This window comes from Homo sapiens, chromosome 6, assembly GCF_000001405.40.
Source record: "Homo sapiens chromosome 6, GRCh38.p14 Primary Assembly".
Lineage (NCBI taxonomy): Eukaryota > Metazoa > Chordata > Mammalia > Primates > Hominidae > Homo > Homo sapiens.
In genome coordinates this window covers 21086325-21104816 of record NC_000006.12, presented here as the reverse complement: position 1 = coordinate 21104816, position 18492 = coordinate 21086325, and the positions used below count along the sequence as shown (strand labels likewise).

Here is an 18492-nt window from a genome sequence, read left to right as displayed (position 1 = left end):
TATCTCGATTTTGGGAAAGAAATGGAGTATAACTAAGTAACACTATTCATATTAGCCCCAAAGAACCAGTAAAGAAACAATGCCTTTTCTGACAACAAATTTATTATATACAAATACTGTGAAGTCTTGGCATATTGAAGGTTATAGGTATCTGCCCAGTTAACTGAAAACCACTGCTATTCTTCCCTCTGAGATCAGTCACACAATCCAGTGGAGTATCTTCTGGAATCCAGAACAGGGGTTGGCAAACTATGGCCCCATAGCCAATCTGACCCACTGCCTGTTGTTTTTTTTTTTTAAATAAAGTTTTACTGAAATACAGCCACAAATCCTAAAGTATTTACTATCTGGCCCTTTATAGAGAAAGGTAACCACCCCGATCTAGAAACTCTATCCCTGACTATGTCTACTTCCGGCAGTAGTCCCTTAACTCCAAACCACATGAACAACTAACTATCCTGCAAAATTCCTGGCTCCTTCTATTTGCTCAATGGACAGTTCCAAGAGCCAATCATAACCTATATACTGAAACATTGGGATGAACGTACCAAGCATAATAACAATTAGCTGTCTTGTTTTCAGGATATTTCCTCAGTGCTTCTATGTACAGGCAAAAAATATTCCAAGTGGCTTTCTAGAGCATGCTGAAATAGATATGGGGCTTTCAGAGCCGTCTGTATTCACACTGTAACTGCTGATGACAGAAGCTCTGAGAAGAAATCCTTTACTAAGTTCTAGCACTAAAGCCAAGTAAGTTTCTTATACAAGTAACTAAAACACGGCCATTATTACTAGTGAGCCAGTTTCTCCTATGTAGGCAATGTTAAGAGAACTACTCTACAAAACCTGTCGAGCCTTGCTATCAACAGTTTTAACTGAAACGAAAAGCTGAGCCAAAAATGGAATAATTAGGTATTTTCCTATTGCATCATAGTGTATGTCTAAATTACCTCCCAGTTTTTAGCCTGTTAAAACAAACATCTCAGTCATGCAACCACCTGTTAGCTCTCCAAGCATTTAAAAAGTAAACATGTTAAACAAGTTGTGTGATGGACTTGTAACAAGGGTGGCCAGAGTACAGTGAGTATGGCAAATATTTTTCCCCAAATTGTACAAGGTACCTTCAAGTTACCTTCATCATTAATCCCAAAGTACAGGCCACAGAGATGAGAGGATATTTAAAAGTAATTACATGCTGCGTCCTGCATTTTTTGCGGGCTGCCGTGGGTTTAAAAAATGAGGCAGTATGCATGTTTGGTAAAACTTCTAGATTCCCGAGAATCTGAACCTCTGTAATCTTCATCTTACAGGCACTTCATAAATTGCTTTTATATTCCACTCTCCAAGGACAGAAAACACTGATGACCTTTTTTTTTTTTCTTATACTCAAGTTTAAACTCCTTTTCAGACAAAACCAAACAAAACTAAAGACCCCAAGAGAGTATTTTTAACAGTTCAGGTTTCCAGACAATGTAATCATTCCAATTTTTGTCAAAGATATGCAACAGAGCTCAGTTCTGAAAGAGGCCCCGCATGTAATAACAGCTTGTATTCTGAATGTGAGGTTATACAACCAATCAAATTTTAGCAGCATCCACGAACTTAATTTCTTTTGGTTCCCCAAGCCAATTCAATCCTTTCTGTACCCATTCTCTAAGTTGTTGATTAAAGTTTTCCCAAATAAAATGGTGTTATTATAAGGAAAAGCTATAATAAGACTATGGACTTCATTTCTACATACGGATTCTTAAAAATGATAAAGCCTACAAGTTTTCAAAGGGTTTGATATGTTTAAGGTATACTACAATACAATTTAAATGTTCTGCAAGCCTTCATCATACTTCGTGGTAAGAAGCCAAAAGAGCGGGTTTGCATTTCAGCATGCTGCATTTTTCCTGCTCCCTTTCTGGTAGAGAGCCTAAGTAGTTAGCCTGTCAACTGGCAGGAAGCAGAAAGGTAGGAGGAAAAGATAAGGAGCCAAGGCAACTCACGAACTGGACAATCAGGTTCAGAATAGAGTCACGCAGGAGTGCCTGAGGCAAAAATGCAATGGTGGTCTAATGGCGACCAAGAGTTATGCCCAAAAAAAATTCCAAAAGAGACTGGAGTGCAATTCCAGGTAATACACGCTAGGGCTCCAGGACTGGTTTACACGACAGAAACAGACACTCAGTAGAAGTTAGAAAACTACATCCTAAGGCAAAAGGGCCGAAAGAGCCAAGAGGTGCAAGATGAAAACAACAAATGACTGAGAGTCAAGGGGTCGTTGGTGAAGAACTAGTTAGGAACTGGGAGAGTCACGCAGAGAACAAGGGCTTACTAAGATGCAATAAGGGACACTGAAGTCAGGGATAGGAAATGAAGAAGCCAGTAAACACTGAGTAAGTGAAGGTGTTAACTACCAAGGATGTGGACGACGCTAAGGCAGGTCTGATGTTTACCTTGGGAACTTCCTGCGGGGGTGGGTTCCAAAATGAGGGTGTAGGCAACGCTAGGCCCATTAAATTCAGTCAGCAATGTGACAGCATTTGGTTGAAGAAGGAAAATGTTATTTCTGATGGGAGAGTTCAGTGTTTGATAAAAGCACGGTAAAAGAACTGACTCCACAGATAGATTATGCTTTTATAGACTATAAGGAAGTAGACTGAATATAGGTACATGGAGACAGAGAGAAAAGGGAGTCCTAGTTGGGCTGAAGAAAGGCTAAATGATTAGAACACATAATGGAAAAAATACAGTGACGAATGATCAAATTTGTGCTTCAGAAAGAGCTTCCTAATGGTGTTAAAGATAAAGCTCAAGTGGGACAAAGGCAAGAAGCTGAAGACAGTATGAGAAGCTGTTGCAAAATCACTCAGAAAAAAAATAACACCTTAAATTAAGCTAGGGGCAAGGGGAGAAGGTGGGACAGATCTGATTAACAGCTGGGAGGTAGGATAGACAGCTCTTGGTAACTGATTAGATAGGAGTACAGAGAGGGAAGAGCTGAAGAGGACTCCCAGGCTGCTGGCACAGATAACCAAACAGGAGAAGTACCCTTCACTGACAGAAGTACCCTTCACTCAGTCTAGAGACTGAGACTGGTTTTGGAGACTGGGGGAAAAAAGGATAATTCAGTTCTGAATATAGGGAATTTGAGGAAGATGTGAGACATTTGGAGAGAAATTAAGAAGGAAGTTACATGTAAAGGACTTGGGACTCATGAGCATATTGGTGTAATTTAAAGCAGGACAGGGATGGGATCACACAGGGAGAATGTAGAGTGAGGGAGGCAAGAAGATAAGAAGATTGAGGTTAAAATCCTAGCAAACAATAGCTGTTTGGTCTTGGGCCATGTATCTGCTTTGTACCTCCTATATAAAATGAAGACGCTAGATTTGGCCACTGCTTCTCAATCCTTGTTGCAGGTTAGAACTATTAGCGAATCTTTAAAATATACCAAAGCTTCAATCCTAATCCCCAGTGACTCTGACTTAATTGGTCTTCTGGGGCCTGGACAAAAGTGTATTATTTAAAAGCTCTCGGGTATTTCCAACGTGTGGCCAAAGATGAGAAACACTAGTCAAGACGATCCCAAAGGTCTCTTCCAACTGTTAGCCTCTATGATTCTGGATCGGTTCCCTACTGTCTTTCAGCTACTGCCATTCTGTGTTCTCAATTCTATCAGTCATTTTAATCTCTGTATTATGCCTGCAGCTTTGCCTTATTTCTTGACCTCTTCCTTTCCATAAAAGAATGGACTCTCTATGCAAGAATTCCTCTGGGGCACAGTAAGGCTGTGGCTGCAGTACAACCTGCTGCTGTATATTTAGTCCCCTACCTGGTAAGTGCTTCTGAAAAATAAATGGAAAGCTAACTTAATACACTGGACTCTTTACTGTGTTATCAATGTGTAAAGCATCAGAAGCTTAATTAAAAGCACTTGACAATATCAGCGCTCAATCACAATCTCACTTTATATTATACATATTTTGATAGTGTCCCTAAGATGATAATACTCATTTAAGATCAATGAGAAGAAGGGAAAAAAAGTCCCTGGAATTTAAACCATGAACCTCAAGTTTTAGAAATCAATTATAACATCAATGATGTGAAATACAGTTAGTGATAAAAAAAATACCCCAAAATATACAGGGAAACAGGCAAACTCTTCAAAATCTCAAATGCTTTTCCTTCATAAGGCACATATAATACTTCCTTATTCTTTTGTGAGAAATTATTGTGAGGGTGGCAGGGAAAACAAAGAAAAAGAAGGCTGTGGCTCTATTCCATATATTTTTTCACCCCCTACTCTCTAGTTAGGTCTGCAAAATAACTAAGATGACCATAAATGCTTTTGACTGTTGTCTTGAACTTCTTTCTCTCCATCCATTTACAGCAGATTCAAGGAAAGTTATCAGGGTCTTCAGTTTCTCACATACCCAAGTGCTGGAGGCAAAGAGTAAGCATTTCTTAGAGGACACCAAAACAGCAGACTTCTCTAAGAGTGGAAGTTAGAAAATAGGTAAGTGAATTTGTTCACCCAACTGTAATGATATTCAAATAAAATAACCAAGCAAATGTGGAAATGTACAGCTGATTTTAAATCACAGTAGATATCAGTGGGAAATACTTTTTTTTTTTCAGCCTTACGGTTTCTAAAATAACCTTAGAGGAAGGAAGTTGCAACCATCAGCCTCTCATTTTCACAGGGGACAGAGAGTGGGGGTGGTAGAGGAGCAGGCACCATTTATCCTGGCAGGTCTTTAGGCAACAAATGCTGAAGAAAATGCAAATAGAAAATTCTGTGTTAATTCAGTGATGTGTGATAAAATGTAGGTTGCCATACCTTCTCCTATCAAGCTCACTTTATTTTCTAAAGAGAACATTTCTTTGCAAGGAAAGGTCATTATTTGGTAACAAAGGCAAGGCTAGCACATAAGGAAGGCAAGAGACTTAACTAATTTGCAGTAATAAGTGTTGCCAAAATGATTAGCCTTTACTAGCAGTTAGGCCAGAAACAGTCTTACGACATAGGTCAAATCCCTGCAAAATAAAAAGACAAAGTCAAAGGGCACTAAGTACACCACATACCGCACAATGGTTCATTCAAACGTCCTTTGTATGACAACTTCTGGGTGCTCAAAAGTAGCCCATAAGAACACGAGTTGCTATAAATATCAACTCAATATCACTAACCTTCACTCTGCCCTTCTAACTGACCACAATAGTTAACTTTACCTCTTATCTGGATTATTATTGTTTTCTTTCCTGGACTACCTGTGTCCAATCTTCACCCTCGAAATCAATGGTTGGCAAAATATGACCTGTGGGCCAAATACTGCTGGCTGCCTTTTGTGTAGTCTGTGATTTGTTTGTACATTTAAAAATGGCTGGAAAAAGAAAAATAAAAAGCACAAGAATATTTGTGGCATGTAAAAATTATATAAAATTCAAATTTATATATATAAAGTTTTATTGGAACACAGCCGTGCTCATTCCTTTATTAACATTGTCCACGGTTGCTTTTCTGCTATGATGGCAAAGTTGAATGGCTGCAATAGAAAATGTATGGCCTATAAAGCTGAAAATATTTACTATGTGGCCCCTTTTTAGAGTTTACTAACCCTTGCTCTAAACCGTTGGTTTGCAATCCTGGCTGCAAATTGGAATCACCTGGGGATTTAAATAATACTGAGGTGTGGGTTCCAGTGCCAGATATTCTAATTGATACAGGGTGCAGCCCAGGAGTTGGGGTTTTAAAAATTTCTCCAGGTGATGAGAATGTGAAGCCACAGTTTAGAACCTTTGCTTAATCCCCCTTTACTGAGGCCAGAGTAAGCTTCATAATGCATGGTCAACTAATGGCACTCTTCTATTTAGGACTCCCTACTGCTCAGGGAATCAAATTTCAAGTACTGCATTAAAGCTTGTCCCACTTTTCCAGCTAACACCAAAGGCAGTGTCTTGTTCCTTAGAGAGCCTGCATTTTTCTGACTCTACATCTTGCTAATGCTACTCTCTCTGCCTGGAATGCCTCCGCCACCATCTCCATGTATTAAATTCCTTCCAAAGAGCCCTATTCAAAGATCACCTCTTCCATGCAGGATCCTCCCAAACAGAAAGAACCCACTCAACTATGTGCTTCCAGAGATCTCTTTACCACTTTCATGGTGAGTCAACTCCACCTTGAAGAAAGAAACCATGTCTTGGTCATCTGGATAGCATCCCTTCCTTCAGTAACACTTTATTCAAATGCCTTGCACATGGGTGACGGCCAAAAAAAAAAAAAAAAAAAAAAAAGCTGTGTACCCGTTTAACCTCATAACATTTCAGTTTTACCTTCATTGAAACTTCTAGTTCTTCAAACTATCCATTCAGGTCACCTTTTCCCTCCAGGCTCTAAATTCATGACACAACACTTCAATCTATTTCTTGTCAGTAACCTGAGCTTCCACATTGCTTTGTCCTTCATTCCCCCTACAGTCTCCCACGCTCACCTTATATAGTTAAATCACTTGATCCCTGAGCACCTGGGGACTTAGGCCACCTCAGCACTACTTGGTCATTCCTCTGTAAGTAGATATTCAATTGCTGTTTCTATTCCTCATCAGAGCCTCCCAACCAGTTTCTGTTTCCATTCTCATCCTTTATATCTAAAATCCATTCGCCGAGCTCTAAAACTTAGGTGATTAATTGAATGACATATTCATTCGACACATTTACTGTGTGCCCATTGTGCAGGCACCATACTAGTGAGACAGAAAGAAAGCTGGATGAGGCCACTGAACTCAATAGAGCTTTCAAACTAGTGGGAAGAAATAATTACTTAACCAAGCAACCAGGCACACAGTAAGTGCATAAATGTTTGTTGAATTAATTCCAAAAATTCTGAATATTGACATTTGGTATTAACAGTGCTTACCAGATTACTAACTCAAATGCAAATTTTTGTGCTGGATGGAATTATTACTTTTGTAACTATAAATAGTACTTCAAGACAATCATTGTAAAAATTCCAGAATTTGAAACATGTTTCCCAGGGATTTTGCTTTGAGTCAATTTATATTCGAGGCATGAATTTCTTTTTAGTATGTTTGCACTCTCATAAAGATTGCTCCTTTCTCCAATGACAAGTTCCATAGAGAACGGGGGAATGACAGCATTTAGTATCTTTTGTTGAGAGAAAAATATTAGGAAAGGAAAAAATCAACAGCTATATAGCACGGTTAACCCTTACCTTAAGAAAAGTAAATAAACAATTAATTGCAGTCCAGAATGTAGCCAGACAACTGATTTGCTGTCCATATATACATATATTAGGCACTAGGTTTTTTTTTTTTTGTATTTGTTTCTTTTTTTTGTTTTTTGAGACGGAGTCTTGCTCTGTCGACCAGGCTGAAGTGCAGTGGCACACTCTCAGCTCACTGCAACCTCTGCCTCCCAGGTTCAAGCAATTCTCCTGTCAGCCTCCAAAGTAGCTGGGGCTACAGGTGCCTGCCACCACACCCAGCTTATTTTTGTATTTTTAGTAGAGACGGGGTTTCACCCTGTTGGTCAGGCTGGTCTTGAACTCCTGACCTCAGGTAATCCAACAGCCTCAGCCTCCCAAAGTGCTAGCACTACAGGTGTGAACCACCACACCTGGCTGAAGACACTAGGTTTTATACCCAAATACCTGAGACTACAAGAATAAATACTGTGTCCCCATCAATGTCCTCCCTGCCCCTTTGAATACCCTGAATCTAAACTGTTTGATAAAGCAAAGCAAATAGGGCTTAATCCAAGTCTTGCTGAATTTTACTTTCCAATAATTTTAGTATTTCTAGATACATTCTTGATATAAATATTACCAATGCATGAAGAAGTTTCAGTTATTTCTAAAATTTAAAATGTTCCTTTAACATATGACAAGATAACTATTCTCACACTGCTATTTTAGAAAAATTAGCAGTTACAGTGCTAAAACTCTCAAAGTCTGTCCCATCCTCAAAACCTAGCAGATAGTGTGGGGCAACAAACTCGCTGCTGTCTATGTACTACACTGTTTTTATTTTTGTTTTAAAAGTTCTGCTATGTTATAAATTTTTTAAAATTAGGAAGGGTGACAGCAAGTGGTTTTATTTATTTATTTATTTTTTACCATTTGCTTAATAATAATGCCTGATACCTATAAATTATTTTCTTAAAGACAGGCAATATAATTAAACAAAAAGTTAAAAAAGGAAGTTATGTTAGAGACATAACTATGAGAGAGTAACACTGTGCAACTGGATAAAATAAATGCAGTGTGAGTTTTGCTAATTAGTATCCTGGAGTTCTATGTATTTCTACATTGTCATTAAGTATTTCTCTTCCTTTTATTTATGGAGAGATGGTAATGTGCCTTTACTGAATCTAACATTCAGCGAGGCTGAGCTTGAGCCCAGTATTGCGAAAACAGAGTCTGGATCTGCGCAAACTCTATTAATGCTCAGAGCCTCATACCAGCTTCCAGACGCTAATCCACATCGCACCCAAGGGAAAAAGTGATGAAAAAAGAATGGAGAAAACGAAATTTCTCTGACCCACAGATAAGCTGCTATACAGTTCTAAAAACTGATCAAAGCCAATGCATCTCCCTCCCTACCCCGAATAACCCCTGGTGTCACCCCATTTGAAGAGAAGCTCGAAAATTGTTCTGTGCCAGTTATTGCTGCATCTCTAGATAAGCCCACAACTCGTTTTTATGATGATTCCTCGACTGGGACCTGGAAGGTCAGACATGACAATGTAGGTTTGATAACTCTCCTTTCTACATCTAATTTAGCACCTACTGTAAAAAATCATTTCTATCAGCAATGCAACCATCACTGATATCTCTCTCTGCCCCATCATACCAATAATAAGAGTCTAAAATTCATTTCAGGGGTGGCTGGGCTTTTTGACCCATCTTCTCCTCAAGTACTATGTCAAAAATAGACTTATTTTTGTTCCATATATTAAACATACACATTTTCTTTTTTATCTTTGGCCTTTATGACAAAGGAGTCTTTATTTGATAACCAGAAAGCAATTTAATATACAGCTCAATCTTCTCCATTCTCTCGTCTTTATGTCACTTCAGAAATCAGTTGATTTTCTTTTTTATGTTGTAGAGCAAGGGATACTACACAGAGATAGCCAGTGGATGAAAATTTCTGAAGTTGGCTCTTTGCCAAGCAACACTGTCAAGCCTTCGGCAGGAGGGGTACAGGTATGTATGTGTGTAGGGGTAGGAGGGGGGTTGGGGGGAAAGGGGGACCAAGAGGCTAGGAAATTACAGAAGAGCAAAGCAAGAGAAAAATAAAGTAGCTGAGTTTCCCCTTGCACCCATTCTAACACCTAAAGCAACTCTAGTTATATATAATTTGTGTTATATAATCACTCTTTCAGAAATCAACCCATGTTCACACAAGTGGGAAAAGGATGCCCAGACAGTGTAGGTTTCTGTATCAAATGACAGGCCTGACCATTTTAAGTAATGAGCAAACAGGCAGAAAGTGATGCCTCAGGTCCACCACTTATAGACCTTCCTGCAGGCTAAAGTCCTACTATTCTTCATTCATCCTTTCCATTCTTAGAGAGGCCCTGCACCCATCACAAGAAGCATACTTTCAGGGGCTTAGCCTAGGCCTCTCCACTCAGCCTCGGGATACTGCTCTCCCATCCCTGCCAACCTTATCTCCACCTTTCTCTGCTTTCCTTAACTCTTCAGAGAGACATACTGAAGAAGCAAGAGGTCCTAACCATCCACTTATTGCGTATACTGTATGCTTTCTGTTTTTTTCATTGGAAGAGGATCCTAAGGTGTTTTTAAAAAAAGCCAGTTGGTTTAACACACAACATGTTTAGAATGTAAAACGACAGGAGTATCTTAGAAGAGCTCAATGAACTACCTGATTGTGATAATTTTAAAAGAGTTATGCTTAAAGTAAGTTTAATCAATGTCAAAGTCCAAACATTCTTTTGACACAGATAGTGCTTTATATTTTCAAACTGTAATAACTATATTTTAATAAGCATTCATTCATTTAAAAGATTTGCGTATCTGCTCTGTGTATTTTATTAGTAAATTAAACCCCATCTCTTTACCTAGTGTCTGGATCTATTGGCTTCTTCTATCACTAACAACCAAGACCATAAACATCTTTACTTTTATGTTTTAAATTCCTCGGCAATTTAGAAGTTCTTTCTATTTATTGTAGAGGAAGCTACATGTTCTTTTTGCTTCTTTTTCTTTTTCAGCTCTAGCATCTTTTTAGCTCTTTATTTTCATGTACACCTAAATAAGATTCTATCTTGGAGAGTTTGTCTATTTTTGTGTATGTTGTTTGTTTTTAGCAACTCTGTTAATCTTAAACCCCCTAAAGCATCTGCTTATTTTTTCAGTTTTTTCAAAATCAGTTATCCATGTATATGATCTAAGAACCAACCAGCTCCACATAGCTTCCCAGCTTCCCTTTCCCATTTCTGCTTCCTTAGAAGTAACTACCTTCAACTCTTTTTAGTTTATTCTTTTGGTATTTACCTCCATATTGCCAAGTAACATGTCATTTTTGCTATTGGTAATTTCTTACTACTAGATACTATCTCCTGACTTCCCTCTAGGGAAGATGAGCTTGCATTCCCTCCCCTGCCCACTCTATTTATGTATATATTTCTTACCTCCACTTCCCATGATCATACACATGCTATTCAGATTTTACCCAAGTAATACCTAATTATATTTTCTTGTCTGTATATTTTGTTTTCTCTGGAGTTAGTAATTTAAAAAATATGCTTGATGGACAAGTGCAGTGACTTATGCCTGTAGTCCCAGCACTTTGGTAGGCCAAGGTGGGAGGATAGCTTGAGGCCAGAAGTTTGAGACCAGCCTGGACAAGATAGTAAGACCCTGTCTCTACAAAAAAAAAAAAAAAAAAGCCAGGTGTGGTGGTGCACCTACCGTCACACCCAGCTACTCAGGAGGCTAAGGTGGGAGGTGGGAGGATTGCTTGAGCCTGGGAGTTCAAGGTTGCAGTGAGCCATGACCATGATCGTGCCACTGCACTCCAGCCTGGAAGACAGAGAGGCCCTGTCTCCAAAAAAAAAAAAAAAAAAAAAAAAAAAAAAAAAAAAAAAAGCAGCAGCAGCAGCTCAGTTGGTTATCTATGTCTTTATGACCAATTCAATCCAAGTTCTCTTCCACTTATCTAAATCACCTCGCAAGAAGTGCATTCACAATAAGCATTCTATCCTTTCATCCTCTTGAAGAAGTTTCCTCTGGACCTTTCTGGCACATTCTGGTTCAATCTGTCTATTCTCCAGCTCTGATACATGGCTGTCCCATTTACCATCATCCTGGAGATTTCGCTCACCTCTCATCTGTGCTGAGTCTGCTGTTTCCTTTATCCCACATCTTCGTATCTTCTTTCTTAGCTTACTCTCTTGTTTTCATGATGCCCAAAATTCTGGAAAGGCTTCCTGAGAAAGGAGTATCCTGAAATCTGATGAATACTTTGGTGGGTACAAAATCCTAGGATGAAAAGCATTTTTCTTCAAAATAGGGAAGGAATCACTCATTTCTTCTCTGGGTGCTGTTGGTAAGTTTGAAGTCAGTTTGAAATTTGAGTCCTGGTCCTTTGAATGTGACCTGGCTTTTCTCTCTTGTCTTGGCATGGGTCTACATTTCATCCATAATGCTGCGTCCATGGGGATTGCTTTCAGTCTGTTAATTCATGACCTTCAGTCATTAAAAATGTCCTTGAATTATTCATTGCCAATTTCTTCCTTTCTTTGTTTACCCTGTTTTGGAATTCCTATTATTTGAATGTTGGACCCTTCCCAGATTTGTTCTTTGATTTTTCTATATTTTTCCTTCTATTTTTCATCTTATTTTTTTTTTTGGTTCTACTTTCTAGAGATTTTCTCTACTTTAACCTTCCAATTCTATTGAATTTTTACCTTTGCTACCATGTTTTTAATGTCTAAGAATTATTTTTTGCTCTCCCAATCACTTTTTTGATGTCTCAATCTTATTTCATGAATAAAATATCTTCTCTCATTTATCTGAGAATATCAGTAACTTCTTTTTTTTTTTTTTAAGTTTTCGTCTTCCTGCCCAGTCCTGTTTCTTTCTTATTTTTTATTTTCTCTCTCACTCCATTCCTATTCTGTTTGCTTTGGTCCTGTCCTTTGTGTTAGTTAGGGCTTTCCTCAGGAATTTGGTAATCCTTGCTTGCTACTTATGTTTAAGAGTAAGAGGCTTAAAAAGCTGATTGATCATCCTCAGCAAATTAAAACAGGAACAGAAAACCAAACACCACATGTTCTCACTCGTAAGTGGGAGCTGAACAATGAGAATACATGGACACAGGGAGAGGACCAACACACACCAGGGCCTGTCGAGGGGAGTGGGGGGCAAAAGGAGGGAGAGCATTAGGACAAATACCTAATGCCTGTGGGGCTTAAAACCTAGATGAAGGGTTGACAGGTGCAGCAAACCACCATGGCACATGTATACCTATGTAACAAACCTGCACGTTCTGCACATGTATCCCGGAACTTAAAAAAAAAAAAAAAAGAATCAGTTAATCTAAACCCCGCCCCCCCGACCCAGAAAAAAAAAAAGCTGATTGAAAGTTCTGAGCCTGGCCAGGCGCAGTGGCTCACGCCTGTAATCCCAGGACTTTGGGAGGCCGAGGCGGGCGGATCACGAGGTCAGGAGATCGAGACCATCCTGGCTAACATGGTGAAACCCCGTCTCTACTAAAAATACAAAAAATGAGCCAGGCGTAGTGGCGGGCGCCTGTAGTCCCAGCTACTCGGGAGGCTGAGGCAGGAGAATGGCGTGAACCCGGGAGGCGGAGCTTGCAGTGAGCCGAGATCACGCCACTGCACTCCAGCCTGGGCGACACAGCGAGCCTCCGTCTCAAAAAAAAAAAAAAAAAAAAAAAAAAAAAAAAAAAAAAAAAAAAAAAGAAAGTTCTGAGCCTGTTGCTGCATTTGTCAAGTATGAGCCTCAATATAGGATGATCTGGTTGAATTGTTTAATTATGGAACCTCTGATGTCAACATCTCTAAGTATTGAACTGATCAGGTTTCCCAAACAAGGAAAGGCGTGTGTGACTGCCAGCATTCTAGCTGCTAAATGAACAAAGAGGGCATTTGATATCCATATAGGCACTGAATTCCCCTTGCCCTCAACTGTACCACAGGTTCTTCAGTCCAGAGACTTTTCATTTTCCCCTCAAAGAATGAGCCTCCAGTCTTCTGTTGGTGTGAGTGAGGAGATGCCTGAGCTGTACGCCTGAGCTGGGGAGGGAATGGGGCAATCCAGCTGCTGCTTCTTAAGTAGTTTTAAACAATCCTTCTTATGTTAGTGCCCTCATTTCCTACTTCATTCTCCCTTTCAAAAGTGCCAGCCAATTCCTTGACCATTTGAGGATTCTCTGGTATATATCAAGTTTGTTCATAACTTGGGTTTTGGTTTTTCCCCACTGCTAGGTTGGCATTTAGGTTTCTTCAGGTTGGTGAGGTGAGTTGCCAATTTCTAGCTGCTCCCCAGCTGTCACAATCTTGTTGTGGGGTTTCCTCTCCTAGCCTGTCCTCTTTATATTTGTGGGTTAATAACTCCTGTACTAAAAATCTCTATGATGTATTTTGGCAGGATTTGAGAGACAATGAAACTAGATCTGTCTTAATCTTTCCTTCTAAATCTGAAACCAGACTTACTCTTTGAAGAATTGTTAGTACACTCATGCCTGCAGTCACAGCACATCGGGAGGCAGAGGCAGGAAGACTGCTTGAGCCCAGGAGTTTAAGACCAGCTGGGGCAATAGTGTAAGACCCTGTCTCTACAAAAAATTAGCTAGGCATTGTGGTGCTTGCCTGGAGTCCCAACTACTTAGGAGGCTGAGGCAGGAGGATCGTGTGACCCAGGAGGTTGAGGCTGCAGTGAGCCATTATTTTGCACCACTGCATTCCAACCTGGGTGACAGAGTGAGACTCTGTCTCAAAAAAAAAAAAAAAAGAAAAAAGAAAAAATTGTTAGTATACTTACAAATATATTCTTAGTTCACACATACACATATGACATTCATGAATTTCTCTTTTGAAATAATTGATATATAGAACAAGGTAAATAATAATCTAACAGTATTCCCTGAACAAATAAAAAGTGAAAAAGTTTGAGATAAGGCTAGAAATTCTGTTTTATGTATACTTTCATATATATATGAGTGTCATTCCTTTCTTCCAGAGGCTGTAGAAAAATATATAACTCCATAATCCATAAATCAGTCTCTATCAGCAAAGGGAATTATGAAAGTAGAATGTTACAACTCAGGTTTTGTTTTTCTAAGCACAATGGATTTTATATTTTATGAAAACTGTGTTCAAAGACAGAAGAAACTGTGTATGCTAGGTATGGAAAGCAATCAAATGTGTTGAAGTTGTGCTTACCCTTTTGGCCCAGTTGGCTCTTAAATACAGGCTTCACTTACAGCCTTGATATGCACACCATCTATTGTAGGAATGCCATGAAGATTAGATGAAATGTCAATAAAATGCTTGGTACAGTGTCTGCATATAGTAATCACTCAATAAATGTTAGTTCCTATTATCAACATACAAGGTTCTTAATTAGTTTTCCAATTAACATGACTGTGGTGTTCAATAATATCACTTGTATTCATTATCTTATCATGAGCTGAAAGGTAACAGGTGTCTATTTACTTATAGCTACAAAGACATCACCCTTGTAAAAACTTTCTTCATTAATGACTAGATGATGTCTCTCCATAAATTCAAAGAATGAGGATAACCCTAACACTGCATGCTATATAGCAATAAAAAACAAGAGTAAGCTATTCTCTTCTCACCATGATCTCAGCTCATACGTAACTTCCTATTTTAATTGGTTGTAGCTATGCATTCCCAATATTTCAGAGGCAAACAAGAATCCAATGTCCTCAAATCTCACTATATAGGAATTAATATTTATGGCTTACTTTGCTCTACAGACCTTAACCTGGCTTATAAAGCTTGCCATGATCTGACTCTTGACCACCTGGCCTCCTTCATTTCCTACAAGTCTTCTCACCCATGACGCTTCAAGCTGTAAGGTGTTCCTTTTTGTTTCTCCACGCTTATTTCCTTTTGAAGGTGTTTGTGTAGCTATTTCCTCAGCCTCAACTCCTCTTTCCTAGTATCTTCACAAGGCTACTCCTTACTCACATTTAACTTAGATGTCACCTCCTCAGAGAGAGCTTTGCTGGCCAATCCAAAGGATCTACACAGTCACATACTTATTATGTATGCCTATTTTAATTTGCTATTTGCACTTTTGTTTTTTTTTCTAGAGACAGGGTCTTGCTCTGTTACCCAGGCTGGAATGTAGTGGAAGGATCACAGCTTACTGCAGCCTCTGCCTCCTAGGCTCCAGTGATCCTCCTGCCTCAGCCTCCTGAGTAGCTGGGACTACAGGTGTGCACCACCACACCTGGCTAATTTTTTTATTTTTTGTAGAGACAGGGGTCTCACTATGTTGCCCAGGCTGGTCTCAAACTTCTGGGCTCAAGCAATCCTCCCACCTCAGCCTCCCGAAGTGCTGGGATTGTGGGCATCAGCCACCACACCCGTCCTATCTGTAAATTTTTTAAGGCATGGTAATTAAAAAACATTCATCTCACCATCAACTGACGTTGAAAAGAATGTCAATTAATCCTTTTTGCTTTATTCCTTTAAAAATCAAGGGAAGTAAATGCTACGATTTTAATTTCCATAAGCATAATATACTGTAAAGTTGCATAGTGCATGACCCGGTATCCATAGATAATGGGAAAGAATCATTTAACATTGTCTATATCATACTAATTTTATTTTATTTATTTTTTGAGATGGAGTCTTGCTCTGTTGCCCAGGCAGGGGTGCAGTGGCATGATCTCGGCTCAATGCAACCTCTGCCTCCCAGTTTCAAGTGCTTCTCCCACCTCAGGCTCTTGAGTAGCTGGGATTACAGGCGCCTGCCATAACACCTGGCTAATTTTTGTATTTTTAGTAGAGACGGGGTTTCACTGTATTGGCCAGACTGGTCTTGAACTCCTGACCTCAAATGATCCACCCTCCTCAGCCTCCCAAAGTGCTGGGATTACAGGTGTGAGTCACCATGCCCAGCCTATCATATTAATTTTAAAGACTTGTAGAAAAATACTATCAATTCCAAAACAAAAATAGTGCTGTGAAGCCAAGTATTAATTAATGAAAGCAACAGGAAATAATAAGGACATTTCCTAACTTTTGAACTAGCTATGCTCCATAACTTTGTTCTTTATTAAGTTGGTTGAAGTAAGACTGCATCTTTTCCCATTATAAATAATTACATTTTGTTAGAACCTCCACTTCCAGAAAACCCAAAATGACAACCGAAAACCAATTATTTAACTACATATCTGTAGATTATGGTTGGTTTTCAATTATATGTACTATTTATGAACTATTTCTATGGGGAAATGAAGTCTTCTCCAGTTTCAGGTTAATTGAACTAATTGTGCAGTGGTCTCTTGCCCTTCTTTCCCAGATCTCTGTTGACCCAGATCCTGGAAGTACTATCTTTGTTTTTGAACCCGTTTTTCTCTGATAGGTTTATATGAAGTATAGTCACTAGCCAGATGTTCAACTATGTTGTTCCCATTGATAGGGACAAGGGACAGAGAAATTCTAGGCAGAAAAATGTGGGTCCCTGGCATAACCCTACCCTCAAGCTAAAAAGCCTGAAACTGTGGCCCAAAATGAGAACTTATATCCCTGTTTTCCTGCCCGAATACTGCCTTTTCCTAAACAACCCATGGCCCTGTCCCGTCCCATCCTGTACATATAAAAACCCCATATTCAGCCAGTAGACAGGACCACAGTTGGATGTTAGAGAGAAGCGGCTTGACTTCAGAGGGACAGGTTGATGGTGTAACTTCGGAGAATCATCCGGTCGGAGATTTTTGGACAAATTTGTTTTTTTTCTAGGAAATGTGTGTGTGTGTGTGCACGCATGCATGCATATCTGTATATTAAATATAATTAAATATACATTTATATAAACACACATATATAAAATTATTCTCAAAAAATGTTAAGAACCATTGACCAAGAGTTAGGGTTAGATAAAATGCTCTCCCAGGAGCCTTTTAGAAACTACTTATTTGGTGTCCATGAAAGCCAATATTCTTTAAATATCTGATGTTTTTGGAGGATCAGCTGAGGACTATAGGAACGGAGTAGAAGATAATCACATCAGCAGTGGTGTCCTAGCTTGTACACCCCACTTGGCAAATAAAAAGACCTGAAGTTGGCCAGGAGCAGTGGCTTATGTCTGTAATCCCAGCACTTCAGGAAGCTGAGGCTGGAGGATCATTTGAGCCCAAGTTTGAGGCTGCAGGGAGCTGTGTTTGTGCCACTGCACTCCAGCCTGGGAGACAGAACTAGATGCTATCTCCAAAAAAAACAAAGACTTGAAGTTAACTAGGCGCCCGCTCCTTAGAAGGCAGTTACAAGGAGCAAGGATGTTTCTCAAAGAATCAGTTACAACCCATATAGAGTCCTCCCGTAGAGCAGCTGTGATTTTAAAGTTTTTTCCATCTTACTCTATTTCCAATGACATCTGGCATCCCTTGCTCGGTCTTTGGATAGAGTATGGGGCACAAAGCTTGCTCACAATTTCAGGCAGTTTATGCATTGTTGTCTTAGGCCTGGGTGCAGAAGGAAAAGAGTTCACTAAATTAATGGAAGGGTGGATACATATGGTGAAGTTAAGGAACATCATACTAATTAATAAACAAGAGAGTTATTGGGCTACAGAGGTTTGGGGTGCCATTTTAACCAATGCTTGATACATAAATGTTCCCAGAAAAATATTTTAGGACAATGACATTTAGATCTAGTGAGACAGTTAAGAATTAAAAATGAGGGACTATGATATTTTTTAACCTTTGTAAATTTCCTCAAAGTTTTCATTCTGTTTTTCTCCTGTCTTCTACAGAGAATAGCAAAAAAAGTCAAAGTGAAAAAGCAGTTTGGGCAAAGCAACAAGGAGCTTGGGCCCTAAATCATACTTAAAGCTGGTCTTGGGCAGTCGGGGGGAAACATGGCAGGTGGATAGAGTTTAAAAAAGAAAAGGTCTCTGGGAACTGTTAGGAAGGTAAAGGGGCTACTAGGAGCAAGCAGAGAGAAGACTCAGTGCCAGACTCTGACCCTAAACATCTACAGATGCCCCTTTTAACAGCCAGGACTTCGGTGTTCGCCTATGGCTCCCACTAGTTCACCCACCTAGGCGCTGGCATGGATCAGGCATTTGGTAAGTCATTCTATCTCCTCAAACCTCTATGAACATGGAATTTGTCTTTAAGTTGTAGCGCCAGTTAAAAGAATTTTGTCTTTAAATGAGTAAAATTTTGGCTCTAAAATCCTATAGATTTAAAATAGAAATTGAGGAGTCTATATTTTAATTAAGTTTCTCAGAAC

At 39.3% G+C, this 18492-nt stretch overlaps 1 protein-coding gene across 16 annotated transcripts in view; it reads right to left on the bottom strand.

Moving 5' to 3' along the window:
• CDKAL1 (CDKAL1 threonylcarbamoyladenosine tRNA methylthiotransferase) overlaps positions 1 to 18492 on the bottom strand; it is a 697948-nt gene that overhangs the window by 127588 nt on the left and 551868 nt on the right. The gene's annotated exons all lie outside the window — the stretch shown is intronic.